This window comes from Homo sapiens, chromosome 6 (assembly GCF_000001405.40).
Source record: "Homo sapiens chromosome 6, GRCh38.p14 Primary Assembly".
Classification (NCBI taxonomy): domain Eukaryota; kingdom Metazoa; phylum Chordata; class Mammalia; order Primates; family Hominidae; genus Homo; species Homo sapiens.
The window spans coordinates 63,393,087-63,414,195 of record NC_000006.12 but is presented as its reverse complement, the minus strand read 5'-3'; the positions used below and the strand labels follow the sequence as shown (position 1 = coordinate 63,414,195).

The following is a 21,109-nucleotide window of genomic DNA, read 5'->3' as shown; positions in this document are numbered from 1 at the left end:
CAGCAGCCCATTTAGCTCTCCTGAAACAAAACAAAACAAAACAAAATTAAGACAGTATTATTATCTTCATGTCTTGAGGCTAAGATGTTGTGACTTGATCATAGTTATGAAGCAGAACATGGGAGAGGAAGTACAGTGTTTGTGATTCCAGTGGCCACTCTTCTCGACTGGCCCCCTATTAATTACAAGCCTTTAATAACAGCCACCAATACTGAATATATTGGTGAATATAATAATGAATCCTCTTGCCTCTAATATTCAAGATAGCCATGGTGATTTAGTTGAATATAAATGAATTATATATATACACATGAAAGCTAGTATATATTCTAACAATAATTACTAACTTTAAAGGATAATCGGAACTCTATTCTGTTTGCACTTACTATCTTATCCTATTAAGGCAAAATCATTTCAGATTATTAAATATGACATTAATGTAGAAATAATTTTATGGCATTTTACCTTTATATGAAGTAACTCAATTATTTGTAAAAAGAGGGATAATCATGTCACAACCTTTGTGCAATACATATAGTGGGTGGAAAATGACATTTTAGTTTTAATTAGGATAATTTGAGATTCCTGCTGAGAAGTTTGCCTAAGGTCACAGAACTACTCAGAGCTAGAAATACAGCACAGGAATCTCTATTTCTAGCCCAATGATCCACTTAGTTAAAACAGGGCTTATGCTATTCATAAAGCAATGTCATCAGTCACAAATCTGTTAAGTAAGAGAGGAGTAAAAATTAGATATTAGGAGAAACAACCATTTATGTAATAAATGTCAGCCAATCTTTCTTTTTAAATTAATTTCATAATATTGTGTATCCATTTCTTAGAAGAAAAGTTTTATAAATTTAGGAAAAGAATATAACTATTCTTGATTATCAGTTTCCTTGGTTGAAATGAAATTGCATTTAGAGTTCATTTTGTAAAGCTTCAATGGTGTCTCTAAAATTACATGTCAAATAATAATAGATTATTATTAATTATACAGATCTCCATGATAATCCATAACCTCTGTAATGTATGGTGTTGCTTTACATTTTATTAATATGAGTGTTCAACACTGGTAGTTTAATTCAGAAACTGTTTTTACTTTTTCAGGATTTGTATAATGGTTTATAGGGATTATGATACCCCATGTATTGTTCTCACCTTATTGACTTATTTTAGCACATGATTTTATGATCAATTTCTTCTTTCTAACTTGCCCTCATTTCTTTTCTTTTCTCTTTCTTTCCTTCTCTCTTCCTTTCTTCCTTCCTTCCTTTCTTCCTTCCTTTCTCTCTCTCTCTTTCTCTCCCTCTTTCTTTCTCTTTCTCTTACTCTCTCTCTCCCTTCCTTCCTTTCTTCCTTCCTTTCCTTTCCTTCCTTTCCTTCCTTCCTTCTTTCCTTTCTTTCCTTCCTTCCCTTCCTTCCTTTCTTTCTTTCTTTCTTTCTTTCTTTCTTTCTTTCTTTCTTTCTTTCTTTCCTTCCTTCCCTCTTTCTTTCTTTCTTTCTCTTTCTTTCTTTCTTCCTTTCCTTCCTTTCCTTCCCTTCCTTCCCTTCCTTCCCTTTCTTTCCCTTCTTTCCCTTTCCCTTTCTTTCCCTCTTTCTTTGCCTCTTTCTTTCCTTCCTTCCTTTCTTTCTTTCTTTCTTTCTTTCTTTCTTTCTTTCTTTCCTTCTTTCTTTCTTTCTTTCTTTCTTTCTTTCTTTCTTTCTTTCTTCTCTTTCTTCTCTCTCTTTTTCTTTCTTTCTTTCTTTCTTGCTTTCTTTCTTTCTTTCTTTCTTTCTTCTTTCTTTCTTTCTTTCCTTCTTTCATCTCTCTTTCTTTCTTTCCTTTCTTGATGGAGTCTTGCTCTGTTGCCCAGGCCAGAGTGCAGTGGGGCGATCTCAGTTCACTGCAACCTCCGCCTCCTGGGTTCAAGTGATTCTCCTGCCTCAGCTGCCTGAGTAGCTGGGATTACAGGCTTCTGCCACCATGTCCGGCTCATTTTTGTATTTTTAGAAGACACAGGGTTTTGCCGTGTTGGCCAGGCTGGTCTCGAACTCCTGACCTCAAGTGATCTGCCCACCTCAGCTTCCCAAAGTGCTGGGATTACAGGCGTAAGCCACTTTGCCCGACCTGCCCTCATTTCAAGTCTCTAAAAACAATCCTGAAAATTCACTATTTTAAGTTTTTCTCTTTACCTTTAGTATAAGAAGAAATAAAAACTCATTTTATTTCTACTTGTTTTGTTTGCTTACCCAGAAATATTTCTACATAAGATATTTTATTTTAGAGTTTTTAATTGCGAAATGTTCATTGAATACTTGCACATTTGATAGTGCTTAAGTATTTTAGCACAATTTTTTTTCTTTTTTGAGACAGGGTCTCACTCTGTCACCCAGGCTGGAGTGCAGGGGGACCATCATGACTCAGTGCAGCCCCAACCAACCTCAGCCTGGGCCCAAGGGATTCTTGTGCTTCAACATCCTGAGTAGCTGGGACTACAGGTGCACACCACCACATCCAGCTAATATTTTTTATTTTTTGTAGACTCAGAGTCTGACCATGTTGTCTTGGTTAGCTCAAACTCCTGGGCTCAAAGGATCCTCCCTTCTCGGCCTCCCAAAGTACTCGGATTACAGGTGTAGCCACCATGCCTGGCCTTAGCACAATATTAAGCACTTCATAAGGCCTCAATAAAAATTAATTTTATTATTATTACCATTAATAGTGTGAGCAGCGCAATAGAACTATAGATCAAGTCTCTGTCTTCAAGGACAGATCTTAAAATTCAGTAATGGAGGAGATATGGCATGTAGAAAGAAGATGACACACAAGCCAAGGCTATGTCCTAGTGTAACTTATCTCTGATGCCCTTGCCTACTTTCTCCTTACCTGCTATCCCCTTTACTTGATAACTAACAAAACCGAAAACTGAAAGTAACTGGGAGAATGTCTGCGTAAATGTTAGCTCACAGCGTAATTCCTGGTGCTTGGGAAAATTCCAAATCACGAATATAGACTTTGACCAAGAGATCTTTGGGACAGTCAATATTATTCTTTAGAGAGCTGGCAAAATTTCTAGTCAATTTTAGGAAGAGGCCCTTGGAGTATTTCTGGAGTCCTGAGGCTACTTTGGAGATGAGATGAACTGTAGTTGTGTGTCTGAGAAATAATCCTGATAAATTTAGGCACAATTTACATTTCCTACTAACTCAGTAGGTGTCTCTAAATATCCCCAAGAAATAGCCTGTACTGACATTTCTGGCCTAGCTTTATGCCAAACCTCGTTGCTTAGGAATTGGAAAAAAACTGGTTTTGACCTGAGGAAGTGGTATGTTTGGAGCATGAGGCAGCAACCATTTACCAGCATGTGGGGTCATTAAGATTTCATGAGCTTTTTCTGTGCTACTCAAGTCCACCAAAATTGTTTCAACACCTATTAAGTGCCCAATACCATACTAAATACTTGGTTAAAACACATGTCATAGGTTCTTGTCCTTGAATAGCTTAACAATTTCCAAGGAGCAGGTTTTAAACTGCGTTCATTGCACTTTATGGTTCCAAGAAAGAAGCCCCAGAGCCAATACTGGCTTTAGTGTAATTTTAGAATTGCACCTAGCACATAATAAATGCCCAAATTGTGTTAGCCTTGTGGGTTTATAGTTCAACTGAAAAACTTTTATTGGCTTTATACCATTGATATATATTTATATATTGATCTGAATAAGATTTTATTTGAAAAAAGTTTCTGCTGCTAAATAAAGTTTAAAAAACTAATGATCTCAGGTATCTCATTTCAGAGTCGTACTAAAAATTAATATAAACATTCCATAAAGACTTTACTCAATTTTATAATATTATAGAGTCCCACTTTTGATTAAATGAATGTCTACAAAAAGTCAAAACATTTTGACTAATATGTACACTTTACTGAGTTTAGAATGGACCAATTATAGATAATAGGAAACAAGACTTATAGCCACAAACATTATGAAACTTTGTATGTGTCAAACCTGTACCCGTTTTTGTGAACATTATAAAGGATAACATGTATTGAGTGCCAGGTACTATTCTAAATCATTTTAAATATTTTATGTCATATCTTCATAGCCATATTAAGAGACAGGTACTATTTTATAGATGAGGTAATACCTTATTATTTTATTTTATTTTAATTTTTTTGAGATGGAGTCTTGCTCTTTTGCCCAGGCTGAAGTGCAGTAGCACTATCTTGGCTCACTGCAACCTCCGCCTCCTGTGTTCAAGCAGTTCTTCCTGCCTCAGCCTCCCGAATAGCTGGGATTACAGGCACCCACCACCATGCCCGGCTAATTTTTCTATTTTTAGTAGAGATGAGGTTTCGCCATGTTGGCCAGGCTGGTCTTGAACTCCTGACCTCAAGTGATCTGCCCATCTCGGCCTTCCAAAGTGCTGGGATTACAGGTGTGAGCTGCCACACCCGGCTGAGGTAATAACTAAAGACTAGAAATATTTAACATGACCCAAATCATGTAGCAAAAAAGTCTGTTTGTATAAAAACACAAGGCCATCTGAGCTATTAAGTATTATTATCCCAATTTTATAAATGCAGAAACTGAGATCTGAAATATCAGAATTTTTGTCTTAAATTATACAGCTATTAACTGTCAGAGCTGAAATTTAAAATAAGGTCATCTGACCCCAAATCTGGTATTTAAGGACTACCATAATGGTTAGAAATAGTTAAAACTTAGCAAAATATAAATTGGTTGTTTGTAACAATTGTGTAAAGTGAATACTTGATCAAGAAGTTTAGATATATGTAAAAATTTCTTAAAATACTTGATCAAGAAGTTTAGATATATGTAAAACTATCTTAAAAAGCCTGAATAGACTGACTAGATTACATTTTGTGGTTATTAATATATCTAAAGAAAGATTACATTAATCTAAAGAAACACTTAACATCTTTGTTGAGATATATCCCTAAGTGTTTCATGTATTTATGACATTACAAAAAATATTTTTGGCTGGGTGTGGTGGCTCACACCTATAATCTCAGTGCTTTGGGAGACTAAGGCAGGAATATCACTTGAGGGCAGAAATCTGAGATGAGCATGGTTAACACAGCATGATCCTGTCTCTACAAAATATTTTAAAAAGTAGCTGGGCGTGATGGTGTGCACCTACAGTCCTAGTTACTTGGGAGGCTGAGGCAGGAGGATCACTTGAGCCCAGAAGTTCGAGGCTGCAATGAGCTATAATTGCACTACTGCACTCCAGCCTGGGCAATAGAGTAAGACTCCATCTCAAAGAAAAACAAAGATATTTAAAAATACTTAATCCTGATTATTTACTGCTAGTATATAGAAATACTTTTTTTTGATGGGGTTGTTTGTTTTTTTCTTGTAAATTTGTTGGAGTTCATTGTAGATTCTGGATATTAGCCCTTTGTCAGATAAGTAGGTTGCGAAAATTTTCTCCCATTTTGTAGGTTGCCTGTTCACTCTGATGGTAGTTTCTTTTGCTGTGCAGAAGCTCTTTAGTTTAATTAGATCCCATTTGTCACTTTTGGCTTTTGTTGCCATTGCTTTTGGTGTTTTAGACATGAAGTCCTTGCCCATGCCTATGTCCTGATTGGTAATGCCTAGGTTTTCTTCTAGGGTTTTTATGGTTTTAGGTCTAACGTTTAAGTCTTTAATCCATCTTGAATTAATTTTTGTATAAGGTGTAAGGAAGGGATCCAGTTTCAGCTTTCTACATATGGCTAGCCAGTTTTCCCAGCACCATTTATTAAATAGGGAATCCTTTCCCCATTGCTTGTTTTTCTCAGGTTTGTCAAAGATCAGATAGTTGTAGATATGTGGCGTTATTTCTGAGGGCTCTGTTCTGTTCCATTGATCTATATCTCTGTTTTGGTACCAGTACCATGCTGTTTTGGTTACTGTAGCCTTGTAGTATAGTTTGAAGTCAGGTAGTGTTATGCCTCCAGCTTTGTTCTTTTGGCTTAGGATTGACTTGGCGATGTGGGCTCTTTTTTGGTTCCATATGAACTTTAAAGTAGTTTTTTCCAATTCTGCAAAGAAAGTCATGGGTAGCTTGATGAGGATGGCATTGAATCTATAAATTACCTTGTGCAGTATGGCCATTTTCATGATATTGATTCTTCCTACCCATGAGCATGGAATGTTCTTCCATTTCCTTGTATCCTCTTTTATTTCCTTGAGCAGTGGTTTGTAGTTCTCCTTGAAGAGGTCCTTCACATCCCTTGTAAGTTGGATTCCTAGGTATTTTATTCTCTTTGAAGCAGTTGTGAATGGGAGTTCACTCATGATTTGGCTCCCTGTTAGTCTGTTATTGGTGTATAAGAATGCTTGTGATTTTTGTACATTGATTTTGTATCCTGAGACTTTGCTGAAGTTGCTTATCAGCTTAAGGAGATTTTGGGCTGAGACAATAGGGTTTTCTAGATATACAATCATGTCATCTGCAAACAGGGACAATTTGACTTCCTCTTTTCCTAATTGAATACCCTTTATTGCTTCTCCTGCCTAATTGCCCTGGCCAGAACTTCCAACACTATGTTGAATAGGAGTGGTGACAGAGGACATCCCTGTCTTGTGCCGGTTTTCAAAGGGAATGCTTCCAGTTTTTGCCCATTCAGTATGATATTGGCTGTGGGTTTGTCATAGATAGTTCTTATTATTTTGAGATACGTCCCATCAATACCGAATTTATTGAGAGTTTTTAGCATGAAGCGCTGTTGAATTTTGTCAAAGGTCTTTTCTGCATCTATTGAGAAAATCATGTGGTTTTTGTCATTGGTTCTGTTTATATGCTGGATTATATTTATTGATTTGCGTATATTGAACCAGCCTTGCATCCCAGGGATGAAGCCCACTTGATCATGGTGGATAAGCTTTTTGATGTGCTGCTGGATTTGGTTTGCCAGTATTTTATTGAGGATTTTTGCATCAATGTTCATCAAGGATATTGGTCTAAAATTCTCTTTTTTGGTTGTGTCTCTGCCCGGCTTTGGTATCAGGATGATGCTGGCCTTATAAAATGAGTTAGGGAGGATTCCCTCTTTTTCTATTGATTGGAATAGTTTCAGAAGGAATGGTACCAGTTCCTCCTTGTACCTCTGGTAGAATTTGGCTGTGAATCCATCTGGTCCTGGACTCTTTTTGGTTGGTAAGCTATTGATTATTGCCTCAATTACAGAGCCTGTTATTGGTCTATTCAGAGAATCAACTTCTTCCTGGTTTAGTCTTGGGAGGGTGTAGGTGTCGAGGAATTTACCCATTTCTTCTAGATATTCTAGTTTATTTGCGTAGAGGTGTTTGTAGTATTCTCTGATGGTAGTTTGTATTTCTGTGAGATCGGTGGTGATAATCCCCTTTATCATTTTTTATTGCGTCTATTTGATTCTTCTCTCTTTTCTTCTTTATTAGTCTTGCTAGCAGTCTATCAATTTTGTTGATCCTTTCAAAAAACCAGCTCCTGGATTCATTAATTTTTTGAAGGGTTTTTTGTGTCTCTATTTCCTTCAGTTATGCTCTGATTTTAGTTATTTTTTGCCTTCTGCTAGCTTTTGAATGTGTTTGCTCTTGCTTTTCTAGTTCTTTTAATTGTGATGTTAGGGTGTCAATTTTGGATCTTTCCTGCTTTCTCTTGTGGGCATTTAGTGCTATAAATTTCCTTCTACACACTGCTTTGAATGTGTCCCAGAGATTCTGGTATGTTGTGTCTTTGTTCTCTTTGGTTTCAAAGAACATCTTTATTTCTGCCTTCATTTCATTATGTACCCAGTAGTCATTCAGGAGCAGGTTGTTCAGTTTCCACGTAGTTGAGCGGTTTTGAGTGAGTTTCTTAATCCTGAGTTGTAGTTTGATTGCACTGTGGTCTGAGAGACAGTTTGTTATAATTTCTGTTCTTTTACATTTGCTGAGGAGTGCTTTACTTCCAACTACGTGGTCACTTTTGGAATAGGTGTGGTGTGGTGCTGAAAAAAATGTATATTCTGTTGATTTGGGGTGGAGAGTTCTGTAGATGTCTGTTAGGTCTGCTTGGTGCAGAGCTGAGTTCAATTCCTGGGTATCCTTGTTAACTTTCTGCCTTGTTGATCTGTCTAATGTTGACAGTGGGGTGTTAAAGTCTCCCATTATTATTGTGTGGGAGTCTAAGTCTCTTTGTAGGTCACTCAGGACTTGCTTTATGAATCTGGGTGCTCCTGTGTTGGCTGCATATATATTTAGGATAGTTAGCTCTTCTTGTTGAATTGATCCCTTTACCATTATGTAATGGCCTTCTTTGTCTCTTTTGATCTTTGTTGGTTTAAAGTCTGTTTTATCAGAGACTAGGATTGCAACCCCTGCCTTTTTTTGTTTTCCATTTGCTTGGTAGATCTTCCTCCCTCCTTTTATTTTGAGCCTATGTGTGTCTCTGCACTTGAGATGGGTTTCCTGAATACAGCACACTGATGGGTCTTAACTCTTTATCCAATTTGCCAGTCTGTGTCTTTTAATTGGAGCATTTAGTCCATTTACATTTAAAGTTAATATTGTTATGTGTGAATTTGATCCTGTCATTATGATGTTAGCTGGCGAAGGACATGAACAGACACTTCTCAAAAGAAGACATTTATGCAGCCAAAAAACACATGAAAAAATGCTCACCATCACTGGCCATCAGAGAAATGCAAATCAAAACTGCAATGAGATACCATCTCACACCAGTTAGAATGGCAATCATTAAAATGTCAGGAAACATCAGGTGCTGAAGAGGATGTGGAGAAATAGGAACACTTTTACACTGTTGGTGCGACTGTAAACTAGTTCAACCATTGTGGAAGTCAGTGTGGCAATTCCTCAGGGATCTAGAACTAGAAATACCAGTTGACCCAGCCATCCCATTACTGGGTATATACCCAAAGGACTATAAATCATGCTGCTATAAAGACACATGCACACGTATGTTTATTGTGGCACTATTCACGATAGCAAAGACTTGGAACCAACCCAAATGTCCAACAATGATAGACTGGATTAAGAAAATGTGGCACATATACACCATGGAATACTATGCAGCCACAAAAAATGATGAGTTCATGTCCTTTGTAGGGACATGGATGAAATTGGAAATCATCATTCTCAGTAAACTATCGCAAGAACAAAAAACCAAACACCACATATTCTCACTCATAGGTGGGAATTGAACAATGAGATCACATGGACACAGGAAGGGGAATATCACACTCTGGGGACTGTTGTGGGGTGGGGGGCGGGGGGAGGGATAGCATCGGGAGATATACCTAATGATAGGTGATGAGTTAGTGGGTGCAGTGCACCAGCATGGCACATGTATACATATGTAACTAACCTGCACATTGTGCACATGTACCCTAAAACTTAAAGTATAATAATAATAAAATAAAAAAAAGAAATACTTTTTTTTAGTATATTAATCATTGCAATGGACTGGATGTTTATGTCTCCCCCATAAAAGTTAGTTGAAATTCTAACTCCTAAGGTTATGACATTAGAAGATGGGGCCTTTGGTGATCCCCTCATGAATGGTATTAGTGTACTTATAAAAGGGATGCCAGAGAGCTTGTTTGACTCTTTTGCTCTATGAAGTTCCAGGGAGAAGATGTCCATCTATAAGAAAGTGGTCCCTCAGCAGACACTGAATCTGCTGGTGTCCTGATCTTGAATATACCAGCCTCCAGAACTGTGAGTAATAAACTGTTGTGTATAACCACCTACTTGATAGTATTTTATTACAGAAACCTGAACAGACTAAGATTTCTATAGTAAATAGAAATCTTGCTAAGCTTACATATTAGTTCTGGATTTTTTTTGGTAGATTCCATCTATTAATATTATCTATTTCTTTTTGAGTAAGCTTTGGTAATTTGTATTTTTTGAGGAAATTTAAGTTAACGCATTTTTATCAAAGTTGCCCATGATTGTATTTTAAGTTGTACATAATTTATCTATTGTTATGTAATAAATTGCCCCAAACTTAGTGGCTTAAAACACATTTATTATCTCAGTTTCTGAGCATCTTCTAGGAGTCTGGGCATGGCTTAGCTAGGTCCTTCGCTTAAGGTCTCATAGGCTGCAATTAAAGTGTCATCTAGGACTGGATTCTCATCAGGGAAATATATTCCTCCAGGCTCTATTGAGTTGTTGGCAGAATTCATTTCCTTGTGGTTGTAGGACTCATGGCGGCTTGCTTCTTAAAAGCCAGCAATGGAGAGAGAAAGAGAGAGAGAGAGAGAGAGAGAGAAAGAGAGAGGCTAGCAAGTCTCTCATGTAACCTGATACATGTAAACACGTGTATCTCATTGCCTTTACCACATTCCATTGTTTAGAAGCAAGTTACAGGTCATGCTCACACCTAAGGATGAAGGATTATACAAAGTCACGAACACCAGGATGTGGGAATCACGGGAATACTTTAAAGTCTGTTTACCCCAGTAATATTGTCCTATTAACCTTTTAGTATTTGTAGAATAGTAAAGGTTATTGTAGAATGTGTAGTGATCTCACCTCTGTCATTCTAGATATTGCTAATTTGTCTTCTCTTTTTTTCCTTTTCTGGCTAGAGTTTTATCAATTGTATTGATCTTCCCCCGAAACTATTTTTTGGTGTCACTGATTTTTCCCACTGTTTTCTGTTTTCTACTTAATTTATGTTTTGATCTTTATTTTCTTTTTCTGCTTGCATTGGATTTCATTTGATCTTTTATTTCTCAAGGTCCAAGCTAAAGACATTGTTTTGAGTCCTTTATTTTTTCTAAATTTAGGCATTTAATACTACAAATTTCCCCCTAAATTCTGTTTTTATGTCATCCCACAGATTTAGATGTGGAGTGTGTATCTTGACCTTTCCTCCTCAAAAGTAGTCTGCACCACAAACCTTACTTAGTATTACATCCTCCTGACCTTAGCCCAACCCTCCCAAGTACTTCATGGCTGCCAGCCCATAAATGCAAACTTTTACTTAAAATAATAACCTAGGATCATTTTTCAAAGAATTCCTAGACTTTAACATCCATATTTATCACCTATATTAGATTAGTTCTCCAGAGAGGCAGAACCAATAGAATGTTGTTCTCTCTCTCTCTCTCTGTCTCTCTCTCTCTCTCTATCATCTATCTATCTCTATATAAATTTATTTTAAGGAATTGGCTCATGTGATTGTGGGGCTTGACAAGTATAAAATCTACAGGGTAGGTTGGCAGGCTGGGGAGCCAGGAAATAGTTGATGTTGCAGCTTGATTCTGAAGGCAGTTTGGAAATAAAATTTCTTATTTTTGAGGGGACCTCAGTTTTTTTCTAAGAACTTCAGTTGACTGGATGAGCCCCAACCATATTATGGAGGGTAATCTGCTTTATCAAAAGTCTACTTATTTAAATGTTAATCTCATCTTAAAAAAAAAAAAGAAAACCTTTATAGCTACATTAAGGTTGGTGTTTGCCCAAACATCTGGGTACTATGGCTTAGTCAAGTTGACACATGAGATTTATCATCACATCACCCATCTAATTTCCAGATTGCTCAATTATTAACTTCTCATTTCCAATGACCTACCTGCTCCAATTATATATCTGTTCCAAAATTACATTTTGAGCCTGAAAATCACCAGGCAGGATCTACTCCAAAGTCACTAATTCAAATAGTCCACTTCCTGACCAAAGTCCCTTATTATTTCAGCTTATGTGTTTAAGTACTTTTATGGTAAAAGTTTTTAGAAGAAATAAGAATCTTCAGGCCCTTGATTCTTACTCTTTTCTCTATCAGTTAGGGCTCTTCCTTATCTATCTTGGATGTCATGGTCAAGTTCTTAAATTACTCTCTTGTAAAAATATTAAACATTATTTTTCTATCTTTCCATCATATCTTCTTGGTGAAAGCAACATGGGATGAACCCACATATTTTCTCCAAGCTTGCTTCTGGCTATCTGAACACCACTGGAGAAAAGACACAAGAGTGCAGGATTTACTATGAATTTATGTTCAACAGGCTCAATGGTTTTCAGTTGCCTGACAACTATATATATTTCTTTCGTGAGCCAAATTTCTCACTTTAGATTGACTAAAAAAAATCCACTGTCATCAAACTTCCACATCCACCTTCACCTTGTCACTCTCATAGTATTTTTTCACCTCCTACGTCTTCAAGAAAACAAGAGCTCCTTTACAGCTAGCAGCTAGAGTTCTAGTTGCTGCTCATGTCTTCATGCTTAGCAGTAGTAATGGCTGCTTACAGTTGCTCGTCACTGGGAGCTTTACTCTTTGTTGTCAGTTGCCTTAATCCCTTTTCACATGTTGGTAAGTACTACCTTCATTAAACTTTCTTTGATTAAACCTTTGGGTATGCCATCTGTTTACGTAAGTAATCCTGACCAATAGAAAATCTTAAATCAGCCTTTTGCCCTGTCATCATAACTGCATGCTCCAGTCGCATACATTTTAACACAGACTTCTCTAGAGCTAAACCAGATATTAGGCCAAAGGTGAAAGACTTGGTACAATTTTCACCTACACGCCCATGGCTGATATTATGGATCATGGCATGTATTCCTACTGATCCTTCCCACTTACAGCTGGGCAACTCATGAATACATCGGTTTAAATTTTGCTTTTTGTAAGTTGCATTCTTCCAAAGTAGTTTGCTTTTACATAACCTCAAAATTTTCTGTCCTTGTCACTCTTAGTTTGATTAATGGACATCTTGTGATGGTTATAACCTTGTTATTTTTGTATTTATTAATTATTAACTTTTTGAATTAACTTGTACCTTAATTTTGTAACTTTTTTTTTTTTTTTGAGACAGATTTTTGTTCTGTTGCCCAGGCTGGTGTGCAGTGGCATGCTCATGGCTTACTGCAGCCTCAACTTCCTGGATTCAAGTAATCCTCCCACCTCAGCCTCCCAAGTAGCTGGGATCACAGGCATGTGCCACCATGCCCAGCTAATTTTTTTTTTTTTAATTTTTGGCAGAGATTAGGTCTCTCTATGTTACCCAGGCTTGTTTGAAATCCTGTGCTGAAACTAGCTTTGTAACTAAGTCTTAATAATTGGAGAACTCTGAGTTTATCCCTGTGCATAAGAAGGACATAGGTATAGAAAAATTTATTGAATTTGCTTATGACAGGTTGGTATAAAAGTCAAATTATATTATAATAATGGGCTTATCAAATATTTATTAATGTTGAATTAATGTTTTTTTTAAACACAGAGTCTTGCTCTTGTCATCCAGGCTGGAGTGCAATGGTGCCATTTCAGCTCGCTGCAACCTCCACCTCCTGGGTTCAAGTGATTCTCCTGCATCAGCCTCCCGAGTAGCTGGGATTACAGGCGCCCACCACCATGCCCAGCTAATTTTTGTATTTTTAGCAGAGACAGGGTTTCACCATGTTGTCCAGGCTGGTCTCAAACTCCTGACCTGAGGTGATCCACCCGCTTCAGTCTCCCAAAGTACTGGGATTACAGGCGTAAGCCACCACGCCCGGCCGAAATTTATGTTTTATTGTACATAATATTTATTTTTTGGATGATTGGAGAACAATGATGCCAGTTTGATGGACTCTTCATATGAAATGCCCCAAAACACAGTATCATTACCTTAAAGGTTAGTAGAGATATGCATGCATTTACATTGCAACATTGACAGAAACCACATTTAGAAGATAGAGCATGAATATGTTCGTGCGGAGCCCTTGACTGTATTTAATCTTACATTAAGCCAGGAGGACGTCTACTGTTATCTAGCGAGATGGCCTGCTCATTAAATGTCCTGGAGGTGCACTTTATCCATCTTTTGGTAGGACCTCTGCTATATTCCTATCTCTGTCCTTCCCACTTTCCTAGAATCCTGAAGAAGTTTACAGCTTATAAGGAAATATTCTTGCCCTTCTGTTAACAGTGCATCTGCCCAGTAGACTGGAAGCCCAGGACTCCTGCCCCTGCCAAGCAAGTTTTCTCATTTGCCAAGCTGGAAGTTGAGGCTCTCTTTAGTGATATCAATACAAATGTTTCTGTCATTATTTACTTGTTTCATGGACTTGATTCAACTAACATCTATTTATTACCCTTTATATGCCAGGCCATCTTCACGATACTGAATATTAAAAGATAAACAAAATGAGGGCTATTTTTGCAATAAATTTGAAGTCTATATCAAAATCATGTGGAAATATATTAACAGAGAATTAAGTCTAGGTTAAGAACAAGAAAATCCTAAAAACTAATTTAGTATATTGGGAGGCTGAAGTGGGAAGATCACTTGAGGCCAGGAGCTCAAGACCAATCAGTCTGGGCAACATAGCCAGACTGTATCTCTACAAAAAATAAATAAAAAAAAATAGCTGGGTGTGATGGCATACACCTGTAGTCCCAGCTACTCAGGAGGCTGAGGTGAGAGGATTCCTTGAGCTCAGGAATTTAAGGCTGCAGTGAGCTATGATTGTGCCACTGTACTCCAGCCTGGGTGACAGGGAGAGATTCCATCACTAAAAAATAAAAAATGATGGCCGGGTGCAGTGGCTCACACCTATAATCCCAGCACTTTGGGAGGCCGAGGCGGGTGGATCATCTGAGGTCAGGAGTTCGAGATCAGCCTGCCCAACATGGTGAAACCCCATCTCTACTAAAAATACAAGAAATTAGCCAGGCATGGTGGCAGGCAACTGTAATCCCAGCTACTCAGGAGGCTGAGGCAGGAGAATCGCTTGAACCCGGGAGGCGGAGGTTGCAGTGAGCCAAGATCATGCCACTGCACTCCAGCCTGGGTGACAGGAGCGAAACTCCGTCTCAAAAAAAAAAAAAAAAATTAGTACTGTTGTGTGTTTCTAAATGATGCAGATATATTCTGAGAAATGTGTCATTAAGTGATTTCATTGTATGAAAATCATAGAGTGTATTTACACAAACCTAGATGCTATAGCTTACTACACACCTAAGCTATAAGGTATAGCCTATTGCTCCGAGGCTACAAACCTGTATAGCACATTACTGTACTGAATACTGTAGGCAATGGTAAGACAATGATAAGTATCTGTGCATCCAAACATAGAAGAGGTACAGTAAAAATATGGCGTAAAAGATTAAAAAAAAATGAGGCCACGTGCGATAACTCATGTTTGTAATCCCATCACTTTGGGAGTCCGAGGCAGAAGGACCACTGGAGCCTAGGAGTTTGAGACCAGCCTAGGCAGGATAGGGAGACCCTGTCTCTACAAAAATTTTTTGAAAACTAGCCATGTGTCATGGCATGTACTTGTGATCTCATCTACTTGGGAGGCTGAAGTCTGAGGATCGCTTGAGCCCAGAAGGTTCAAGGCTGCAGTGACTTTAGCCTGGGTAACAGGAGCAAAACCCTATATCAAAAGAAAAAATATATATATTTTAAAAAGTGGTACTATGAATGGAGCTTGCAAAACTGCAAGTTTTTCTGAGTAAGTCAGTGAGTGAGTGGTGAGTGAATGTGAAAGTCTACGATACTGCTATACACTACTGTAGATTTTATACACATTGCACATTTAGGCTATACTAAATTTATTTAAAAAATAGTATTCTTCCTTTAATAATAAATTAACCTTAGCTTACTATAATTTTTTTACTTTATCAACTTTATAATTTTTTCAATTATTTTACTCTTTTGTAATAATGCTTAGCTTAAAACACAAACACATTGTACAGCCAAACAAAAATATTTTCTTTCTTTATATCCTTATTCTAAAAGCATTTTTTCTATTTTTACATGTATTTTTTACTTTTAAGGCATTTTTGTTAAAAACTAAGACATAAGTACACACATTACCCTAAGCCTACACAGGGTCAGAGTCATCAATATCATTGTCTTCCTCCTCCACATTTTTTCCCGTTTCAAGATCTTCAGGGGCAATAACACACATAGAGCTGTCTGTCATCTCCTGTGATAACAATGCCTTCTGGAATACCTCCTGAAGGACCTGCCTGAATCTGTTTTATAGTTAACTTTTTTTTTTTTTTTTTTTTAGTAAATAGGAGTATACTCTAAAATAATTAAAAATATAGTATAGTAAATATATAAATAAATAACATTTATTATCATCAAGTTTTATTTACTGTACATAATTGTACATACTATACTTTTATATGACTGGCAGTGCAGTAGGTTTGTTCACACCAGTATCCCTACAAACATGCGAGTAATGTGTTGCCTTGCAACATTATGACAGCTATGATATCACTAGGCAATAAAATTTTTTCAGCTTCATTATAATCTTTTTTTTCTTTTTTTCTTGAGACACAGTTTTACATTGTTGCCCAGGCTGGAGTGCAGTGGCATGATCTTGTCTCATTGCAACCTCTGCCTCCCAGGTTAAAGTGATTCTTGTGCCTCAGCTTCCCGAGTAGCTGGGATTATAGGTGTAATTACAGGTGTAATTACAGGCGTGCCACCACATCCAGCTGATTTTTGCATTTTTAGTAGAGATGGGGTTTCACCATGTTGGCCAGGTTGGTCTCAAAAACTTCTGACCTCAAGTGATCCAGCCTCCTTGGCCTCCCAAAGTGCTGGGATTACAGGTGTGAGCCACCACACCTGGCCCATAATCTTTTTTTTTTCTATTAACAAGTCTTCCCACTTTTATTTTCCATTCATCATGCTCCTTTTTGTCAAAATCATAGCCCGCTTCTTTAAAATTGACAACCAAGATTCACTGGCAAGCATCCTTTGTCCTTGGACCATATAATCCCAGCTTTTGCCCTTATGTGTTTTTTTTTTTTTTTCTCCCAAGCCGACAAGTTTCCTGGAGCCAACTTTTGCAGCTCAAAATTGTTCACGTAATTTTATACTTTATGGCTTTGAGCCATGAACACTTGTACAACGTTGTTTTGCCACTTTTCATTTTATTTGGTGATTATTTCCTCCTGGAATACTCCCTTTGTATTAGCCAAAGGAGTGAAAGTTTGTATTGATTTCTTAGATGGTGCATGGGGGGTTGTGAACATATTTAAGACACAGAGCTGGACAGATAGCAAGATGAAGCTGTCTTATGAGATAAGAGGATTGAGCTCTGAAATGCCCAGGGTCCAATCAGCCTCAGGTGTAATTCTCCCGTAGTGCTTCTATAGGCCAAGTGTAGCTTGAGGGGGATGCAGAGCCTGCTAATCTATAAGGTAAGACCAGCCAAAGGCTAATATCTGGGGGGTGTGGGAGGGGCTCCCAGCTCAGGCATTCTCTTCCTTGGATGGGGATTCTGGCCTCCAGAGGAGGTGCTCCTTGAGGGTCTAGCCCTCACCAGCCACTCAGATCACCTGCAGCAGCACCTGCCTATCACTCAGCACTTTGAACAGGTGAGAACACCCCTTCCCCCATACACATGCTTGGTATTATCACTGAATCCTCCACCCACCCCAGTCCCCATCCAGACATCTTGCCTCTCTCCTCACTTACCCTAATATTTGGCACCCACTTCACACTCACCCTCTTCCAACAAGCCTCAGCCCCCTGATTCTGAAGCTCCCAAGGTCCTGTCTTTCCCACCCTTTGCAGAACCAGCCCCTCCACCCCAGCAAGAGACTCCAGCTGGAAGAGAAAACTTCTAAGCCCCCAAGGGAGGGGTAAAGCTAAAGGGGAGCACCAATATTGAAAGCAGGAGGCCACAACTGATGCGGAGAAGGGTACCCAAACTCCAGAGCAGCCTGACTAGGGCTGGGGCTCTCAGGCAAATACCTGAGGCTGCCCATCCTCATCTAGAACACCTCCTCTGAGCCCTAAGGATGAGGGGAGCCTATGGCAAAAGAAGCTATAGGCAGCAGCATCTTGAGGTCTAGAGAATAACTGGATTTGTTGAGTGAGATTCTGGACAGTCTGAGTGTTGGAGCCAAGAGTGCAGGCAGCCTGAGACCAGGCCAGAATTTAAACTGCTGTCACAGAGGGGACCTAGACAGCTGATTCATCCTGGTGGAAACCCTGCCTCTTCCCCAAGTTTTACCCTAATGGTCCATCCAACTTGCCAACCCCTTTGCCATCTAAAGGCCAGCAACTTGCCCGTCTCTCCACCCTACCCAGCCCAACATACCAGGAAGAGCAAGATAGCAACCAGACAATGAGAAACTGCCAGAGCTTCAGCCCCTGTCCCTGCCTGCAGACCTGCCGTCTCTGCAAAATGCCTCATCTGTGGATGCTACAAGCTTCTCAAGGAATCTCAAGTCCTAGCTGTCCTAGAGGCTAACCAAGAAGTCATCTCTCCATTTCAGTCCTCAACAGCTCCTGCAGACCCAAGTAGCGGAGGGGACCCCGAACACTCTCCTCTCACAGAGTCCCTAATCCTTTATCTTTCCCCTCCCTACAAGGCAGCCAAACATTCTAGAGCCCAGGAAAGCCCCAGTTCCAGGCTCTCCACAGTGCCCACCCAGCCCAGCCCTCCAGAAAGCCCCCAAATTCCAGCCCCCACAAAGTCCAACTTTGATATTGTCCAGATAGTCCAGCCTCTTGATCCTTCCCCAGACCCTAGTTCTCCAGAGAATCCCAGAGCCCAGCCTCGCAAAGTCCTGCTAGCAGAGCACACTCACCTCCAGTCACTGGAAGAATTGGGAGGCCTGAATTCCATCACCCACCAGCAACCAGCAGGAGCCCCAGGCCAGGAGCCAGCCCAGAGTGGCTGATCTTAAGTGCTTTGACGGTTAAGGATCAAGGGTCGGGAGGAGACTCCTGTCCTTCAATAAAGCCACAAGAGCCAGAAGCTGGTTTTTCCTGGTGAATTTCTCTAAGGCCCTCTCTCTGGAGGGGAACACAACCTACCCACCTCTCACCCTCCAAGGGCAGCCTCTTTAACTGGATTCTAGAAGGGAGTTCCAGGAAGCCCCCCAATACCCTAGGATCCTTACAACCTTGCAGTTCCTCTGCATTTGTGTCTTCCGTCTTGGCTAATGCCTCCAACAGCTCAAAACAAGCAAACTTTATTATACTTCACTATTAATTTTATATAAGTATATAAAAAGTTAACAGCCCTGCCCTCCCTTGTCCTCAGGAGCAGTCTTTGAAACAGCTTCTTCCATGCTATTCTTAAGAACTGGGTGGATCTGACTGCCCAGAGAGGGCTCTACCTTTCCCCAAGGTCACACAGCCATGAAGTGGGACAAATTGAGGAGAGGGGAACTAGATGGGCAGGCAGCCCCACACTTTCTTCTTGGAGTCCTGAGGGACCCAGGCCTCAAGTGCATGGAGAACTGAAAGAAAGGAGAGGGAGTTGTCAGGCCTGCAGTGCACACAGAGGGAAGAAGGTTCCACAAGCGAGGAGGTGGATCCCCAGCCCTGAAACCCTCAGCTGTAGGCACAGACGACCGCCTGACAGGCGGACGCCCCCCAGGCCCTCCTGCAAGTCTTCCTGAGCTGTCAGAGGCCGTGGCAGCTGCTGTATACAGCAAGCCAGCACCCGGCAGTCCTGGGCAGGGGCAGTGGCTGCATTGGGCCCCAGTGTTACCGGAAAGGGGTCCTGATCCAGACCCCAAGAGAGGGTTCTTGGATCTCGTGCAAAAAAGAATTCGAGGTAAATCCATTGAGTAAAGTGAAAGCGAGTTTATTAAGAAAGTAAAGGAATAAAGAATGGTTACGCCAAAGGCAGAGCAGCCCCTAGGGCTGGTGGTTATTTTTACGGTTATTTCTTGATTATTTGCTAAACAAGGGGTGGATTATTCATGAGTTTTCCAGGAAAGGGATGGGCAATACCCCTGGAACTGAGGGTTCCTCCCCCTTTTAAACCATACAGAGTAACTTCCTGACATTTGTAAACCATCATGATGCTAGTGGGAGTGTCTTTTAGCATGCCAATGCATTATAATTGCATCATAACTAGCATATCATGAGCAGTGAGGACCTCCAGAGGTCACTTTCATCTCCATCTTGGTTTAGTGGGTTTTGACCAGCTTCTTTACTGCAACCTGTTTTCTTATTAATTATTATTGTTATTATTGAGACAGAGTCTCGCTCTGTTGCCCAGGCTGGAGTGCAGTGGCGTGATCTCGGCTCACTGCAACCTCTGCCTCCTGGTTTCAAGTGATTCTCTTGCCTCAGCCTCCTGAGTAGCTGGGATTACAGTCGCCCACCACGCCCAGCTAATTTTTGTATTTTTAGTGGAGACAGGTTTCGCCATGTTGGCCAGGCTGGTCTCAAACTCCTGACCTCAGGTGATCCGCCCACCTCGGCCTCCCAAAGTGCTGGGATTACAGGTGTGAGCCACCGCGCCCAGTTGCAACCTGTTTTATTAGCAAAGCCTTTGTGACCTGTATCTTTTGCAGACCTCCTATCTCATCCTGTCACTTAGAATACCTAACCTCGTGGGAATGCAGCCCAGTAGATCTCAGCTTCATTTTGAAGTGGCTACATTGTCTGGGGTATATACCTGGGATTTGTTGTCTGGCGCCAGGAAAATTTAGGACACAGACACACATGAGGAGTTTAAGAGCGAAGGTTTAATAGGCAGAAGAAAAGAAAGTAAAACAGCTCTGCCTCTTGAGAGAGAGGGGACTTCTGAGAAGAAAGACCTGCCAGCAGTGGATGGGCCAGATTTTATAGTCAGGTTTGAGGAGGCAGTGTTTGATTTACATAGGGCTCACAAATTGGTTCGATCAGGTATGATGTTTTCATAGTGCTTGTGGTAAGACTGGTTGCCCCACCCTAATCTTATTGTGCAAATGGGCTTTCCAGTTAACCAGCGCCATCTTGTCTGCTCCTTACTGTACAGAAGAAGGGAAGATGGGCCAGGCGCGGTGGCTCACGCCTGTAATCCTAGCACTTTGGGAGGCTGAGGTGGGTAGATCACTTGAGGTCAGGAGTTCGAGACCAGCCTGACCAACATGGTGAAACCCTGTCTCTACTAAAAATACAAAAAAATTAGCCGGGCTTTGTGGCACACACCTGTAATCTCACCTACAGGTTGGGGAGGAGAGGCTGAGGCAGGAGAATAGCTTGAACCCAGGAGATAGAGGTTGCAGTGTGCCAAGATCCAGCTATTGCACTCCAGCCTGGGCGACAGAGTGAGACTCCATCTTGGCTGGGCGCGGTGGCTCAGCCTGTAATCCTAGCACTTTGGGAGGCCGAGGTGGGTGTATCACGAGGTCAGGAGATCGAGACCATCCTGGCTAATGCGG

At 40.1% G+C, this 21,109-nt stretch overlaps 1 protein-coding gene and 1 pseudogene across 3 annotated transcripts in view; both read left to right on the top strand.

Moving 5' to 3' along the window:
• LGSN (lengsin, lens protein with glutamine synthetase domain) overlaps nucleotides 1-21,109 on the top strand; it is a 297,657-nt gene that overhangs the window by 159,412 nt on the left and 117,136 nt on the right. For all 3 annotated transcript variants that reach the window (XM_047418866.1, XM_017010930.3, XM_011535892.4), the window contains one exon: nucleotides 9,595-9,690. The gene's annotated coding sequence lies outside the window, so the exon portion shown is untranslated. The remainder of the gene's footprint in view (nucleotides 1-9,594; nucleotides 9,691-21,109) is intronic.
• Nucleotides 18,049-18,843, top strand: LOC100133007 (DENN domain containing 1C pseudogene; annotated as a pseudogene).